Genomic DNA, 17,829 nt, shown 5'->3' with positions numbered 1-17,829 from the left:
TGCTGGGATTACAGGTGTGAGCCACTGTGCCCAGCCAACATGTAAATAATTTATCTGCAAATTATTACTGTTGTTTCTTCCATTCCAATCCTTACTTGTTTTACTGCACTGCTAAATACAAGAAGAAATAGCAGTCATCCTTGTTCTTATTGCTGATTTTACAGAAAATGATGCTAACTTCTCACCACTGAATAGGAGAGTTGCTGTAGTTTTTTGGTAGATGCCCTTTATATTAGTTAGAGTAAGACAGGCTATACTGTAGTAACACATACACTCTGAAATCTTAAGAGGCTTAACACTGTAAGGATTTAGTTCTTGCTTACACAAAGTCTGATGAGAGTGAAGCATCCTTACTCCATCTTTAATCTATGCCATCTGCAATACACAGCCTCCAAGGTCACTGGAGCAAGAGAAGAGAGGGACGGAGGAGGAACATTGGCTCAACTGCCTTCATCTAAAAGTGACACGTCACTCTAGTTCATAGTCTACAGGACAGAACTAGTCATTGGCCCCAATCTAACTGTAAAAGAGAATGGGAAATTCTGGGGAGCCTGTGGAATATTTGGTGAACTTTGTCTGTGCCACACTGTGAGTTTAAAGATACTCCTTTCTGTTCCTCATTTTCTTATTACCATGAATTAATGTGGAATTTTATCAAACTCTTGCAGCTACCAACATTATAAGGATTTTCTTTTTAACATGCAATATGGTAGATGATATTTATAGATTTTCTAATATCAATGCATCCTTGCATTCCTAAAGTAAGCCTAAATTGATCATGATATACTATATTTATATTATATTGTATTATTTTAAAGCAAACTTAATTGAAATATAAGACGCCTGTAATCCCAGCACTTTGCGAGGCTGAGGCGGGTGGATCACTTGAAGTCAGGAGTTTTAGGCCAGCCTGGCCAATATGGTGAAACCCCATCTCAACTAAAAATTCAAAAATTAGCCATGCGTGGTGGCCCATGTCTGTAATCCCAGCTACTCGGGAGGCTGAGGCAGGAGAATTGCTTGAACCCAGGAGGCGGAGGTTGCAGTGAGCCGAGATTGTGCCACGGCATTCCAGTATGGGAGACAGAGTGAGACTCCGTCTCCAAAAAAAATAAGGACAAATGCTTGAGGAAATGGACACCCAATTTTCCATGATGTGTTTATTTATTTATTACTTTTTTTGAGACAAAGTCTCACTCTGTTGCCCAAGCTGGAGTGCAGCGGTGCGATCTCAGGTCACAGCAACCTCCACCTCCCAAGTTCAAGCGACTCTCCTGCCTCAGCCTCCAAAGTAGCTGGGACTACAGGTACATGCCACCATGCCCCGCTAATTTTTGTATTTTTAGTAGATACGGGGTTTCAACATGTTGGCCAGGCTGGTCTCGAACTCCTGACCTCAAGTGAACACCTGCGTCGGCCTCCCAAAGTGATGGGATTACAGGCGTAAGCCACTGCTCCTGGCCTGATTTTTTAAAATAATATCTTTCAAATGCTCCTGGCCTGATTTTTTAAAATAATATCTTTCAAACCAGTAGAGAAAAAAATGTGGAATAAGAGTGAGCAGAAGGAAATCTCTCCAACTCTCTATTCTCCCTTTTTGATGTTTAGATATATCCTGGACCCCTGTTGTCTTTTTTTTCTTTTTTAAAGCTGAACATCTGCATTCACTACAATTTTAATTTTCTACCCAGAAATTTCAATCCTAGATACATTTCAGGAGAAACCAAGGACTCTGTCCTCTGTATCTCTAAATATCTTTTATATTTTTCATCTGCTTTGTTCTTTGTGGTACGTTCTGGGTAATTTCCTCAGCTCTTTCAGTTTGTCAATTCTTTCTTCAGCTATGTCTAACCCCTATTTAACTCTTACAGCAAGTTCTCAATGTAAATTACCTTTTCATTTCTAGATATTCTATTTGGTTATTATTATTATTATTATTTTTTTTTTTTTTTTGATGCAGAGTCTTACTCTGTCACCCAGGCTGGAGGGCAGTGGTGTGATCTCAGTTCACTGTAGCCTACACCTCCCAGGTTCAAGTGATTCTCCTGCCTTAGCCTCCCAAGTAGCTGGTACTACAGGCATGCAACACCACACCCAGCTAATTTTTGTATTTTTAGTAGAGACGGAGTTTCACGATGTTGGACAGGTTGGTCTTGAACTCCTGGCCTCAAGTGATCCATGTCTCTGTTTCCCAAAGTGCTGGGATTACAGGCGTGAGCCACCACGCCCAGCCCCTTATTCATATTTTTAATTCTCCTTTTTCTTTTTTTGAGATGGAGTCTCACTCTATCGGCCAGGCTGGAGTGCAGTGGCACAATCTTGGTTCACTGCAACCTCCACCTCCTGGGTTCAAGTGATTCTCCTGCCTCAGCCTCCCCAGTAGCTGAGATTACAGGCGCCTGCCACCAGGCCCAGCTAAGTTTTTGTATTTTTAGTAGCAACAGGGTTTCCAGGTTGGTCTTGAACTTCTGACCTCAAGTGATCCACCTGCCTCGGCCTCCCAAAGTGCTAGGATTACAGGCATGAGCCATCGAGCCCGGACTTAATTCCCCTCTTCATCTGTTTAGCCCACTGACACAAACCGAGGCCACTGCTTGAGGGGAGAGGAGCCAGGTCCAAGGAGTCTGACTTGCTCAACCATGAAAGGAGTCAATACCTCAGCCACTCTTACCACCCATTTTTGGCACATATGCAACACAGGAGGGCTCTTTCAAGACACCTTGATCCGTACGAAGCAAATAGGGTATTTATTTGGCTTACCTGTATGAAATATTCCAAACTTTTAAATTTCACTAATTAGTAAAAGTTTTAGGGAGAGGCATATGCTTGCCAACTTTATATTTACAAAATGAGAACAATAGATTTTTTTTAACTGACTACACCATTATTTCATAAAAGACATTTAATATGCAAGTATAGTGGGCCACGCACAGTGGCTCATACCTGTAATCCCAGTCCTTTGGGAGGCCAAGGCAGGAAGATCTCTTGAGGCCAGGAGTTTGAGACCAGCCTGGCCAACAGCTGAAACCCTGTCTCTACTAAAAATACAAAAATTAGCCAGGCATGGTGGCACACACCTGTAATCCCAGCTACTCAGGTGGCTGAGGCAGGAGAATCACTTGAACCTGGGAGGCGGAAATTGCAGTGAGCCATGATCGCACCACTGCACTCCAGCCTGGGCGACAGAGTGAAACTCTGTCTCAACAGCAACAAAAGTATGAAGAATATTTCTGAATAATACAAAATCTTTAAATTTAATACATTTGACACTAATTTGCTAAGGACTGGCATGGGTCTCTAGCTGGCATTTCTGACTATGGACTAGAGGCTAAAGTGAATGGATCTTTCTCTTTCCCTAAATAAAAGAGCATATTAGAAAACTGGCTTCATTTTACCTTTTCTCACATGAGACACCATCGATATCCATGCTCTGGGAACGTGAGAGAGACTGAGATTGCGTTTCAAGGCTATTAGAGGGCGAGCTGCTGAGAGAACTGACTCCTTCACTGCTCTGGCTTCGATGGGCTACTCCTAAACAGAAAACACAGGAAGGATGAAGCCCCATGTGAAATAATGTTCAAGTTATTTGTAATAGCGACAGTAAACACGCACAATCTGCAGTCACCCATCATGACATTGCAGCAACCGAGGAATTTCTATCAGAAGATTATATAAAAAGCTGGAAACAATAATAAAATCATAGGAACATTACTAAGAAATCATAAGTTATCAATATACTTCATATGAGGTCAGTAACAGAGCTACATCTAATGCCTAAAACTCACCCCTCATCACCTCTCTTGCACCAATTCAAACTATGGCCCACAAATACAAATTAGAAATACAAATTAACTTCCATGATAGTCCAGAAAAATCCTTGAAATGCGCCCAAAAGAAGATATATTAATAAACCAGGCCGATGCAGTGGCTCATGCCTGGAATCCCAGCACTTTGGGAGGCCAAGGCAGGTGGACCACCTGAGGTTTGGAGTTCAAGATTAGCCTGGCCAACATGGTGAAACCTCATGTCTATTAAAAATACAAAAATTAGCTGGGCACCTGTAATCCCAGCTACTCAGGAAGCTGAGGCAGGAGAATCCTTTGAATCTGGGAGGAAGACGTTGCAGTGAGCCAAGATCACACCACCGCACTCCAGCCTAGGTGACAGAGCGAGACTCCATCTCAAAAACAATAAAAGGATATATTAATAAACCTATAGAAAAATATGTGATAAAGCGAGTATAATAAAATGTTAATGAGGCTGGGTGTGGTGGCTCACACCTGTAATCCCACCATTTTGGGAGGTCGAGGCGGGTGAATCACAAGGTCAGGAGATTGAGACCATCCTGGCTAACATGGTGAAACCCCGTCTCTACTAAAAATACAAAAAAATTAGCTGGGCGTGGTGGCGGGCGCCTGTAGTCCCAGCTACTCAGGAGGCTGAGGCAGGAGAATTGCTTGAACCCGGGAGGCGGAGGTTGCAGTGAGCCAAGATTGCGCCATTGCACTCCAGCCTGGGCAACAGAGCAAGACTCCGTCTAAAAAAAAAAAAAAAAAGTTAATGATAGAATCTAGATGGTGAGTATACGGGTGTTCCCTGCAAAATTCTCTCAACTTTACTGTATGTTTACAATTTTTATAGTAAAATATTGAAAAAAAAATTCAAGTGGACTCAACAATGTCCTTTGATATAGATCGATCCATTTATTGATTGAACACCTTAGTGGAAATTAAAAACCTGACACTTTGTTGCCCTCACAGAGCTGACAGTACAGTGAAACTGTAGTCACTAGTACAGGGACAGATGATTTCTCACAGCAATTTCCCATCAATGTCTTTAAAATCATGTTTTACATTGAAATTTTAAAAATTACTTTAACTCTATGAATATCTTCCTATGAAAAAAGAAGAATGTTTACCCAGGCATTTGCAAATACTTTAAAATATATATACCTATGGTGCTGAAAAGGAAAATGACACATGTTTAAAAAAACCATTGGCTGGGCACGATGGCTCACGCCTGTAATCTCAGCACTTTGAGGGGCCGAGGAAGGCAGATCATTTGAGGTCAGGAGTTCGAGACCAGCATGGCCAATGTGGTGAAACCCTGTTTCTAGTTAAAATACAAAAATTAGCTGGGCGTGGTGGCCCACTCCTATAATCCCAGCTACTTGGGAGGTTCAGGCAGGAGAATCGCATTAACTTGGGAGGCGGAGGTTGCAGTGAGCCAAGATCGCCCCACTGCCCTGCAGCCTGGGTGACAGAGCAAGACTCCGTCTCAAAAAAAAAAGAAAAAAAAAAGTATGAAAAAAGAAAACAGAGAAACTTGAGTTACCCGTTGTAGTGAAAACAATCACTGAATAAATACAATTTTAACCCTTCCAGCATTCTATGACAGTAAACTTGCCACTTTTTAATGTTTCTCTTCATTGAAGAATATTATAAAACATTTATCCATTCCTGAAAGCAGTTCTTCACATGTACTAATTTATTAAAACTTCTGCAGGATTTATGAAGGAAATAAGAAACTAAATTTTCTCTCTTCCTAGGACTCAAGTAAAATACACAAAGCATCTACCGTAGTGAGAATTCTGAAACAAGTTCACAGAATACAGTAAAACTTTTGATTCATTAATTTCAGGAAATATAACCCAAAGTAAGCCCTGAAAAAATACTTATTGAAGGAATAAATAATACACCATCACAAGGTTCTTAGGAGAATATTATTTTACCTATCACAATTAAAGGCCAAGTAACTTTTTAGTTAAAATTAATCAATAATAAACTTCAATGATCATTATGGTAGTAAATAAGCAGGCTTTAAAATTTCTACCCTACAAAACAAGTTATAAAATTAAACACATAATTACAAATTGTTTTAAAAACTGTATCTGTAGTATAGTATAGTATGTGTACAATAATACTGTAGCAATATAGCTCCAGTGTATATCACATAGTGTAACATACTGCATTTGTAATATTTTTATAAGGCATCAAAGAGATCATCTGAATTCATTTTTTCCTGCATCTTCCACATGATCTTCACATTTCGGATCAAGTGGGGCAATTCTGCAACAATTTATTATGTATACAAGTGCTCCTCAATCTCTAAACACCAGGGGACTCCATTCCTTCTTTTCTTTTCTTTCTTCTTTTTTTTTTTTGAGATAGAGTTTCACTCTTATTGCCCAGGCTGGGGTGCAATGGCACGATCTCGGCTCAAAGCAACCTCCATCTCCCAGGTTCAAGCAACTCTCTTGCCTCAGCCTCCCGAGTAGCTAGGATTACAGGCATGCGCCACCATGCCCAGCTAATTTTTGTACTTTTAGTAGAGATGGGGTTTAACCATGTTTGTCAGGCTGGTCTTGAACTCCTGACCTCAGGTGATTCACCTGCCTCAGTCTCCCAAAGTGTTAGGATTACAGGCATAAGCCACGGTGCCTGGCCTCCTTATTTTAAGAAATGGGTCTCAGCCAGGCACAGTGGCTCACGCCTGTAATCCCAGCACTTTGGGAGCTGAGGCGGGCGGATCATGAGGTCAGGAGTTCGAGACCAGCCTGGCCAATATGGTGAAACTCTGTCTCTACTAAAAATACAAACATTAGCTGGGCGTGGCGGCATGCACCTGTAGTCCCAGCTACTCGGGAATCTGAGGCAGAAGAATCGCTTTAACCTGGGAGGCGGAGGTTGCAGTGAGCCAAGATCGTGCCACGGCACTCCGGCCTGGGTGACAGAGCAAGATTCTGTCTCAAAAACAAAACAAAACAAAAGAGATGGGTCTCACTATGTTGGCCAGGGCTGGAGTGCAGGGGTGTGATCCTAGGGCACTGTAGCCTCAACCTTCTGGGCTCAAGGGATCCTCCTGCCTCAGCTTCTGAGTAGCTGAAACAAAGAACATATGCCACCATAACCCATTTCTCTCCTTTCTTAAATTTAAAATACTGATGGTCAGTCGTGCCTCACATCTGTAATCCCAGCACTTTTGGGGAGTCAAGGAGAGAGGATCACTTGAGGCCAGGAGTTTGAGACCAGCCTGGGCAACACAGAGACCCTGTCTCTACAAAATACTTAAAAAATTAGTCAGGTAGTCCGGGCGCAGTGGCTCACACCTGTAATCTCAGCACTTTTGAGAGGCCAAGACGGGTGGATCACTTGAGGTCAGGAGTTAGAGACCAGCCTGACCAACATAGTGAAACCCTGTTTCTACTAAAATACAAAAATTAGCCTGGCGCAGAGGCGGGAGCCTGTAATCCCAGCTACTAGGGAGGCTGAGTCAGAAGAATCGTTTGAACCCAGGTGGTGGAAGTTGCAGTGGGCCAAGATCGCACCACTGCACTGCGGCCTGGGTGACACAGCAATACTCCATCTTAAAAAAAAAATAAAAATTAGGCATGGTGGCATGCACCTGTAATCTTAGCTACTTGAGAGGGTGAGGTGGAAGGATTGCTTGAGCCCAGGAATTAGAAGCTGCAGTGGGCTATAATCATACCACTGCACTCCAGCATGGGCAACAGATGGGTCTTTTTTAAGACCCTGTGTCAAAAAAAAAAGGACACACACAAAAACCTGATGGTGTCTTTGATTTTATTTAGAAATCAATGTGAATTAAATATTGCGACTAAAAACACATCAAATCAATAGTACAAAATATCACTGTTTTCAAACCTCACACACTCCCTTGTCTTCATGCCCTCTCCCACCCCAAACTTGAGGAATCATGGTCAGGAAGCCAAGTCTCAAGGAATACAGGTTTTTTCTTCCTTCATCTTCACAAAGCCAGATATTAAAGAATTAAAAAATGAACATAATCTGCTGTAACCCTCTTTTAGAAGATGAATAAACTCCCCACATATCAACTATAGAACAAACCTTCCACAAGTGAGGTGTGTAACACAGAATGGAGAAAGCTATGTCTGCTTCAGGAAACAGGAATTAGCAACCTTCTAGGCGGCAGTATCCAACTTCTATAACTGAGAAGAGTTTGCTAAAGGAAATTATGCATTCTATGTGGGAAGATCAGAACATCAAAGGACATAAAAATTTCATGTCTGTAAGACTTTCTCCTAGTATTGTAATATTTCCTGAATGATGTTCCCTTTCAAGTACAAACTAGACCAAATATCTACCTTTAACTTGTAACATTAGGCCTGTTCCAGTATTACACACACACACACACACACACACACACACACACACACAAATGCATAGGCTTCTAAATTCCACCGTAAAAAGAGCACAGAATTGTCAAAAGCGTCCTTGAAACCTCAATAAAAGGTCAAGTGTGGTGGCTCATACCTGTTCTTCCAACAGATTGGGCGGTCGAGGCAAGAGGATCGCTTGATCAAGACCAGCTTAAACAACATAGTGAGACATCATCTCTACAACATATTTTTTAAAAAACCAAAACGCCTCAATAAATCTGTTTTGTTGGGGGCATTGGTCTTAAAGGTAATGGCCAACCATCTTCCCTCCTCTTTTACAGATAAGAATATCTAGGTCTACAGAGTCTAAAAACTTCCCTTAGGACCTCCTCGCCTGTTAGAAACAGAGCAAAGAGTAAAACACAGGTCTCAGCCAGGCATGGTGGCTCACGCCTATAATTCCAGAACTTTTGGAGGCCAAGGTGGAGTAGATCGCTTCAGTCCAGGAATTCAAGACCAGCCTGCGTGACACAGGGAGACCCCGTCTCTATGAAAAATACAAAAATGAGCCAAGCGTGATGGTATGCGCCTGTAGTCCCACCTACTCAGGAAGCTGAGGGGGGTGGGTCACCTGAGCCCAGGAGGCTGAGGCTGCAGTGAGCCACAATGGCACCTCTGCACTTCGGCCTGGGCAACAAAGTGAAACCATGCCTAAAAAAAAAAACACACACACACACAGGCTGCCTGATTCCTAACATAATGCTGTAATTCCTTTACCCCAGACTGCTGAACAGTCCTTTGGATCAAATATTTTAAAACAAAGTTACCTATTTTATACACTCAAAAATTACAAAAGCAACCAGGCATGGTGGCTCATGCCTGTAATCCCAGCACTTTGGGAGGCCGAGGTGGGCGGATCAAGGAGTTCGAGACCAGCCTGGCCACCATGGTGAAACCCTGTCTCTACTAAAAATACAAAAAAAAATTAGCCAGACATGCTGGTGCACGCCTGTAATCCCAGCTACTCAGGAGGCTGAGGCAGGAGAATTGCTTGAACCTTGCAGGCAGAGGTTGCAGTGAGCCGAGATTGAGCCACTGCCCTCCAGGATGGAAGACAGAGTGAGACTCCGTCTCAAAAAAAAAAAAAAAATTACAAAAGTAAAACTTAAAAATAATTAGGTTTATAAAAGGAGTCATTAATTCTATTAATCAAAATCCTAAAGCTTATTTATATAGCTCTTGACAATGAATTAAGCTAAAGCGTTAATATTCACGGAAAATACAAAGTATACTTGCACTTTATTTGGTTAACACCAAGTCTCACCCCTGAAAACTTTTTTTTTTTTTTCAGAGACATGTTCTCAGTGATACCTGGGCTGCGGTACAGTGGCAAGATGATAGTTCAAGGCAGCCTGGAACTTGGGCTCAAATGATCCTCCTGCTTCAGACTTCTGCCTCAATGCTGATTATAATAAACATATTCTATTTCATAGAGCAGACTGACATTTTCTTAGCAGCTAATTTCCTGATAAAAACATTTTGTTCTTGGCTGAGCACGGTGGCTCATGCCTGTAGTCCCAGCACTTTGGGAGGCTAAGGTGGGCAGATTACGAGGTCAAGAGATCGAAACCATCCTGGCCAATATGGTGAAACCCTGTCTCTACTAAAAATACAAAAATTAGCTGGATGCAGTGGCACATGCCTGCAGTTTCAGCTACTAGGGAGGCTGAGGCAGCAGAATCACTGGAACCTGGGAGGCAGAGGTTGCAGTGAGCTGAGATCGCGCCACTGCACTCCAGCCTGGGCCATAGAGCGAGACTTTATCTCAAAAAAAGAAAACATTTTGTTCTTGTGACTAAACAAAAATAAAGTGGGCTGGGTGTGGTGGCTCACGCCTGTAATCCCGACACATTGAGAGGTTGAGGTGGGAGGATCGCTTGAGCCCAGGAGGTTAAGACCAACCTGGGCAAAATAGAGAGACCCCATCTCTACAAATAATAAAAAAATTAGTTGGGCATGGTGGTGCAAGCCTGTAGTCCCAGCTACTCAGGAGGCTGAGGTAGGAGGATCACTTGAGCCCAGAGGTCAAGCTTGCAGTGAGCCATGATTGCGTCACTGTCCCCCAGCCTGGGTGACAGAGGGAGAACCTGTCTCAAAAATAATAATAAAATAATAAAATACGGTCAGGCGTGGTGGCTCACACCTGTAATCCCAACACTTTGGGAGGACAAGGCAGGTGGATCAGCTGAGGAGTTCAAGACCAACCTGGCCAACATGGTGAAACCCCGTCTCTACTAAAAATACAAAAATTAGCTGGGCATGGTGGCGGGCACCTGTGATCCCAGCTACTCAGGAGGCTGAGGCAGGAGAATTTCTTGAACCCGGGAGGCGGAAGTTGCAGTGAGATTGCGCCACTGCACGCCAGCCTGGGCAACAGAGTGAGACTCCATCTCAAAAAAAAATAAAATAAATTTAAAAAACAAATAAAATAAAATGACATTTCAAGTCTGTGAAGAACAACAATGGTATCTTAAATACTGGGATAAGAAAACCAACAGCCGGAATTAGAAAATCACTTTGATCTTCATATTTACAAGACAGAATATTCCTCTCCTTAGTGTCAAAAGGCAGAATCATGCATAGAATCATACATCTGGAGTCAGTAGACCAGGACTGCTCCTTGGAGAACTGGCTGATTTCTAGGGCTGGGGCAGGAAAAATCCAAGATAAGTCTAGAGCATCATACGGTGCTAGAAAGACAGTGCTCAAAAATATAAAAGAAGAGGCATGTCAAATGGACCAAGGATCCAACTTGAAAGAGCTCCCATGGTCAAAGCTGGAATAATTCCTGTAAAATAAGTAATGTTGCTACTGAAATCATAACCCAAAGTATAAAATAAATGTGTGTGAGTTCATACTGATCTAAGAGATTAAATACATAGCAGGGGAGAAGGGACAAGTTTTCCTCATAGAATTCCAGATTACATATGTACTTCCCCACTCCAGTAGGTGAAGTTTAATTCCCACCCCTTAAGTGTGGGATGGACTTAGGAACTCGATACCAAAGAACTGAATATGGAAAGGGAAAAATACTAAGTTTAAGTGGAGAAACACGGCCAGCACTAACTCAAGCATGTGATGATGTTTAACAGCACCAGGGACATCATGTGGATATTATATACCCCTGATACGATGTGATGGGAAGGGCACTTCACCTGTGTGACATAATCTTCCCCAAAACCCACAACCCCAGTCTTATCATGAGCAAAACACCAGACAAAGCCAAATTAAGGGACATTCTACAAAGTAATGACTAGTATTCTTCAAAACTGTGAAGATCATGAAAACAGAACTGAGATACTGTTGTAGACCAATGGAGACTAAGGAGACTCATGTTTAGTTTAGTCAAAATCATATCCAGGCTAATCCCTTAGTTTTGACAAATGAACCAGACATTAACATTAGGGGAGACTGGATGAAGGGTACACAGGAATCCTGTATACTATCTTCATAACTTTTCTGTACATTGAAAGTTAGTCCAAAATAAATGTTCATTTTACAAAGAAACTAGGACTGGAACCCAGTTCCATCATTTCTAGTTTTGTGATCTTAAGTCTTCTTACTTAATATTTTTACCTATGCTCTGGTAATACTGGCATCTGTGCAGCCTACTTCATAGTTCTACTTTGAGGAGCCAATGAAAAAAACCAATGTGAACGTGTTTACAAGTTCTATAGATACACCTGTATGCGTCAGACGAGAACAGAATGAGAAATCAGGGCAAACTCCACTGTAAAGAACAGATTTGCCTTGTTACCACAACATCTGCTCTGGTCTTGTCCACTTTTAGCATACCTAAGTACTAAAAAAGAGACGGGGAGGCCAGGCGCGGTGGCTCAAGCCTATAATCCCAGCACTTTGGGAGGCCGAGATCAGGAGTTTGACACCAGCCTGGCCAACATGGTGAAACCCTGTGTCTACTAAAATTACAAAAATTAGCCGGGCGTGGTGGCACATGCCTATAGTCCCAGCTACTTGGGAGGCTGAGGCACGAGAATTGCTTGAACCTGGGAGGCAGAGGCTGCAGTGAGATCATGCCACTGCACTCCATCCTGGGTGACAGTGAGACTACATCTCAAAAAAAAAAGAGAAAAGAGAGAGGGAACCTTATCCCACCACTGTTGAATGACTTTTCTCTCTCAACCTATCATTTCAAATAATCACACAAGTGTAATTCCTATGGATCCACTGACGCTTCTATATTGACATTACTTGTTAAAAACAACTCACAATGAACAAACAAATGTAAATTATAATCCACCTAACTCTTGTAGCTAAAAAGGATATATGCATATAACGGGATTTTGAGTCCCCCCATACCTCATTTATCTCTACATCCAAGGTCACTTCCTCTCCCCTGCAACCCCTCCCTGATAACTAAGAATACATTTCACAGTGCATATTTAATAGTCACTGAACACTTTGGGAGGCCAAGGCGGGTGGATCACCTGAGGTCAGGAGTTCAACACAAGCCTGACCAACATGGCGAAACCCTGTCTCTGCTAAAAAATACAAAAAATTGGCCAGGCGCAGTGGCTCATGCCTGTAATCCCAGCACTTTGGGAGGCCGAGGCAGATAGATCACGAGGTCAGGAGATCGAGACCATCCTGGCTAACACGGTGAAACCCCATCTCTACTAAAAATACAAAAAATTAGCCTGGCGTGGTGGCGGGCGCCTGTAGTCCCAGCTACTCGGGAGGCTGAAGCAGGAGAATGGCGTGAACCAGGGAGGTGGAGCTTGCAGTAAGCGGAGATTGTGCCACTGCACTCCAGCCTGGGAGACAGAGCGAGACTCTGTCTCAAAAAAGAAATAAAAAATAAAAAATAAAAAAAATTAGCTGGGCGTGGTGGTGGGTGCCTGTAATCCCAGCTACTCAGGAGGCTGAGGCAGGAGAATTGCTTGAATCCAGGAGGCAGACGTTGCAGTGAGGCAAAATCGCGCCACTGTACTCCAGCCTGGGGAACAGGGCGAGACTCTGTCTCAAAGAAAAAAAAAAGTCACTGAATACAGGAGGGCTTTGAGGATATTTTCTGAATTTATGGTGGCTGCATCAAATGCACGCTGTTAGTGAACTCTGTACTTGTTCTTACTACCTCAGTTTCTCTGTAAAATGATAGAACTGATGTTAAAAAAAAACCTATAACCCTTTACAGTTGCATTAAAGTTATAAAGATGTGTTGTTGTTTTTTGAAAACCATGCTGCATAGTTTACAATAACAAATCCAAATACTCCATTATGCATCCCCTATCAAAACAGTGACAAATCTTATCAACAAAAGAGAAACTGAACCACACAACCTTGGCTGGTGAACATCTCCTGACCCTTCACAAAGGCTTTCCCCTCAGGTCAGGGTTGAACTAGTCTCTTTCATCTGCCACATTCAGGGAGCCTCGGGAAGATGTCACTTGATTAAACAGAACCGCCTGAAGTCAAGAGGCCTGAGGCCACGAGGTGACAAGCTATTTTCATTCTTTAGGATCACAATATTTCCTGTCACTAGGAGAAGGAGAAGGGAACAAAGGAGTTTTGCTTCACTAAGGATAGGGGATGGGTATGGTGACAGGCCAGGGTGTGGCTCTCAGTCCACTTCAGGGGACGAATCCTGCCAAACCTGACCAATGTCCACTTGCTGGAGGCTGGCTAGGGCTTAATGTTAAGGCTCTCCAGGTATGAACGTTCAACTCTAGGTGTTAAAGGTGACAAATTCTTCTGAATCCAAAGATTTCAAAATCGTAACTTTATCTTAAACTTACTTCCCTTGGATTCCAACTGGAAACTGGAGAGAGGCCGGGTACAGTGGCTCATGCCTGTAATCCTAACACTCTGGGAGGCTGAGGCAGGGGGATCGCTAGGCCCCAGGAGTCTGAGACCAGCATCACCAACATGGTGAAACCCTGTCTCAACTAAAAATACAAAAAAAAAAATTAGCCAGGAATGGTGGCGGGTGCTTGTAATCCCAGCTACTCGGGAGGCTAAGGCAGTAGAATTGCTTGAACCTGGGAGGTGGAGGCTACAGTGAGCCAAGATCGCACCACTGCACTCCAGCCTGGGGGACTGAGCAAGACGACATCTCAAAAAAAAAAAGAAAAAAAAGAAAAGAAAGAAAGAAAAAAAGGAAAACTAAAGGGAGATGGCGAAGAAAACTCCCAGTGTAGTCCCAAATCAATGCAGTCAACCCTACTACTTCCTGGATACCTACTATGAGCTCAACAGATAGAAACACAAGATAGTTTTTTTTTTCAGAGCTTTCAATCTAGTTTGGAAGACCAGACAAATGCACCCAAAACTAAGAGTGGTTTGTGTGGCACGATCTCTACTGGTTATAGGCCTTTTGGGGTGAATATGTTGACTGGGACAGCAACAGGGAACATGCTCTGAAAATCAAGATAGTGAATTACATGAAGAGGGTGGAACATGATGATACAGCACCTTGCAAGCCCTCGGATTAGATTATAATTGGAAATAAGGAGACGAGGAAGGCTTTCAAGCAGGTGAGTGACATGTATTATCTCTCCTACTAAGCCATAAGATCCTTAAGGGACAGGAACACATGGTATAGAAATCACTCTCACACACAGTATTTGCCCCTGTGCCTTTGCTAGGCTTGGGCACATGACAAAGGCCATGCAGTACCGTGGCACAGTTCACATCCCACTGTGTGGGGAGAGTGCTACTGGGCAGTTTGGAGTCAGAAGCAGGCAGTTGGTAAAACTACAAGCACAGCAGAGGTTGCAGGACCAGGTTAGCAAAAATGGGGCAGGGGGTGGGGGCTGCGGATAGGGAAAAGTGCAAGAATCAACCCCAAGTCAAAACAGGAAGTGTATTGATTCCCAGCACTGCACACGTCTCAAGAACAAGATATCATGAGCACTTTAACCAGATTCACAAAGTAATTAGTATGACCCTAGGAATAATGCTGTAAGATAAAGCCCAGAACTAATAAAACATACCCCTTTGGGGGCCCGAAGGCCAGTCCAATTCGAGGAAGTACCCATGCCAGCATAGGACACACCTGTTCCAACTCATAATTAAAATGAATAAGCAAAAAGCAAAGGATTTCAACCTCTTCTAGGAGCCTCCTGAACTCAGTAGCCTTTTAGGGTTCCTGCTGCAGCCCTCAGGCCTTGGGGCTTCTGTCTGAGCCTCTGCCTCTAGCCAGCTGCTTAACCACCCTCGAATTCTTTCTCCCAAGCTCTGGACCAAGTAGAAGAGGAAAAAAAGAAAAAAGGATTTTAATATAGCAATCAATGATAGGACCAAAGTTAGAATTTCATTGTCATTGTGGATAGCATTCTTAGCCAAAGACAACTTACCATAAAAGAATGGCTTTGATCTTGTTGACATTCCTACAGATGTACTAATAAGCAATCATAATGTTCATTAAAGACTCAAAATTGGAGAAGGAAAATGAGGGGAAATTGAAGATGACTGCTCTAGCCCTGCCTTGCATCAATCACTGGCAAGTCCATTCTTGCCCCAGGACCTTTGCATCTGTTTTCCTTCTGTCTGCAAAGATTGCCCCACAGATATCCACTTGGTTTGCTTACTCACTTCATTCAGGCCTCTGCTAAAAATGTCACATTCTTCTAGAACCAGAAATACCATTTGACCCAGCAATCTCATTACTGGGTATATACACCCAAAGGAATATAAATCATTCTACCATAAAGACACATGTACACGATAGCACTATTTACAATAGCAAAGACATGGAACCAACCCAAATGCCCATCGATGATAGATTAAAAAAAGTGTGGTACATATACACCATGCAATACTATGCAGCCGTAAAAAAGAATGAGATCATGTCCTTTGCAGGGACATGGATGAAGGTGGAAGCCACCATCCTCAGTAAACTAACACAGAAACAGAAAACCAAACACTGCACATTCTCACTCATAAATGGGAGTTGAACAATGAGAACACAGGGACACAGGGAGGGGAGCAACACACTGGGGCCTAATAGGGGGAGGGTGGGGTCAAGGGGAGGGAGAGCATTAGGACAAATACCTAATGCATGAGAGGCTTAAAATCTAGATGATGAGTTGATAGGTGCAGCAAACCACCATGGCACATGTGTACCTATGTAACAAACCTGCACGTTCTGCACATGTATCCCAGAACTTAAAGTAAAAAAAAAAAAAAAAAAAAAAAAAGTCGCCTTCTTAATAGGACCTACAGTGATTATGTACACACCCCCAGTGGTACTTATGCCAACATACTGCTCTCTTTTCCTCTATAATTACCATCATCTGAAAGATTTTGTGGTTTTGTTTGTTTTTGTTTTTTGAGACAGAGTCTCACTCTGTTGTCCAGGCTGGAGTGCATGGCACAATTTCGGCTCACTGCTACCTCTACTTCCCAGGTTCAAGTGATTCTCATGCCTCAGCCTCCCCAGTAGCTGGGCCTACAGGTGCGCACTACCATGCCTGGCTAATTTGTGTATTTTTTTTGTAGAGGTAACGTCTCGCTATGTTGTCCAGGCTAGTCTTAAACCCCTGGGTTCAAGCGATCCTCCCACCTAGACCTCCCAAAGCACTAGGATGACGGGCATGAGCCACCATGCCCAGCTGGGTATTTAAATTGTTTTCTCTCACTAAAATATAAGCCACATAGCCTACAACAGAACCTACTGCATAGGGAGATTTAAATAAATATGTATTAAGTGAAGCCTACGTGAATTTAGAGCATTCAATAAATCAATGTAACAACCAACATAAACAAACATATAAAATAGATAAAACATATCAAGCAAATTTGGAGGGATAAGAATAGGCCAGGAACAGTGGCTCACGCCTGTAGTCCCAACACATTGGGAGGCCAAGGTGGGAAGATCACTTGAGCCCAGGAGTTCAAAACCAAACTGGGTAACATAGTGAGAACTTGTCTGCACAAATAATTTAAAAATTAGGATGGGCATGGTGGCAATCCCAGCACTTTGGGAGGCCGAAGCGGGCAGCCCACCTGAGGTCAGGAGTTCGAGACCAGCCTGGCCAACATGGTGAAACCTCGTCTCTACTAAAAATACAAAAATTAATTGGGCGTGGTGGCCAGTGCCTGTAATCCCAGCTACTTGGGAGGCTGAGGCAGGAGAATTGCTTGAATCCAGGAGGCGGAGGTTGCAGCGAGCCAAGATTACGCCATTACACTCCAGCCTAGGTGACAAGAGCGAAACTCCAACTCAAACAAAAAAAAAATTAGCCAGGCATGGTGGCACGTGCCAGGAGTCCCAGCTACTTGGGAGGCTGAGGTAAAAGGATCACTTGAGCCTGGGAGGTTGAGGCAGCAGTGATTCGAGATTCCATTGCTGCACTCCAGCCTGGGTGACAGAGTGGGACCATCTCAAAATAAAACATAAAAAAACCAATTATAATAGGATATGGAAGGATGTTGTTCCCTATATTATATAAAGTAATAATACTGTTGTTTTGCCAGGCATGGTGGCTCACACCTGTAATCCCAGCACTTTGGGAGACCGAGGTGGGCAGATCATCTGACATCGGGAGTTGGAGACCAGCCTGACCAACATAGAGAAAGCCTGTCTCTACCAAAAATAAAATTAGCCAGGCATGGTGGCACAGGCCTGTAATCCCAGCTACTCAGGAGGCTGAGGCAGGAGAATCGTT

The 17,829-nt window shown here is 43.1% G+C and overlaps 1 protein-coding gene across 7 annotated transcripts in view, besides 2 other annotated features; it reads right to left on the bottom strand.

Annotated features, from left to right (window-relative positions):
• Positions 1 to 17,829, bottom strand: part of UBE4B (ubiquitination factor E4B) — a 148,282-nt gene that overhangs the window by 82,248 nt on the left and 48,205 nt on the right. For 6 of the 7 annotated variants that reach the window (NM_001410744.1, NM_001105562.3, NM_006048.5 and 3 more), the window contains exon 3: positions 3,396 to 3,531. In NM_001410744.1, coding sequence (NP_001397673.1) covers positions 3,396 to 3,531 — 136 coding nt within the window. Of the gene's footprint in view, positions 1 to 323; positions 401 to 3,395; positions 3,532 to 17,829 lie in introns of those variants that run through there. The other variant, XM_011540488.4, reaches the window with a different exon arrangement.
• Positions 8,274 to 8,773: an enhancer, noted in NCBI's record as "H3K27ac hESC enhancer chr1:10150277-10150776 (GRCh37/hg19 assembly coordinates)". NCBI's record gives its function as "activates a minimal SCP1, AML or CMV promoter by ChIP-STARR-seq in primed H9 embryonic stem cells {active_cell/tissue: H9 hESC(primed)}" and the evidence as "EXISTENCE:reporter gene assay evidence [ECO:0000049][PMID:30033119]".
• Positions 8,774 to 9,275: an enhancer, noted in NCBI's record as "H3K27ac hESC enhancer chr1:10149775-10150276 (GRCh37/hg19 assembly coordinates)". NCBI's record gives its function as "activates a minimal SCP1, AML or CMV promoter by ChIP-STARR-seq in primed H9 embryonic stem cells {active_cell/tissue: H9 hESC(primed)}" and the evidence as "EXISTENCE:reporter gene assay evidence [ECO:0000049][PMID:30033119]".

Source organism: Homo sapiens, chromosome 1 (assembly GCF_000001405.40).
Source record: "Homo sapiens chromosome 1, GRCh38.p14 Primary Assembly".
In the NCBI taxonomy this organism is placed as follows: domain Eukaryota; kingdom Metazoa; phylum Chordata; class Mammalia; order Primates; family Hominidae; genus Homo; species Homo sapiens.
Note: the sequence above shows the minus strand (reverse complement) of the source record. Positions and strands in the feature narration are given on the sequence as shown.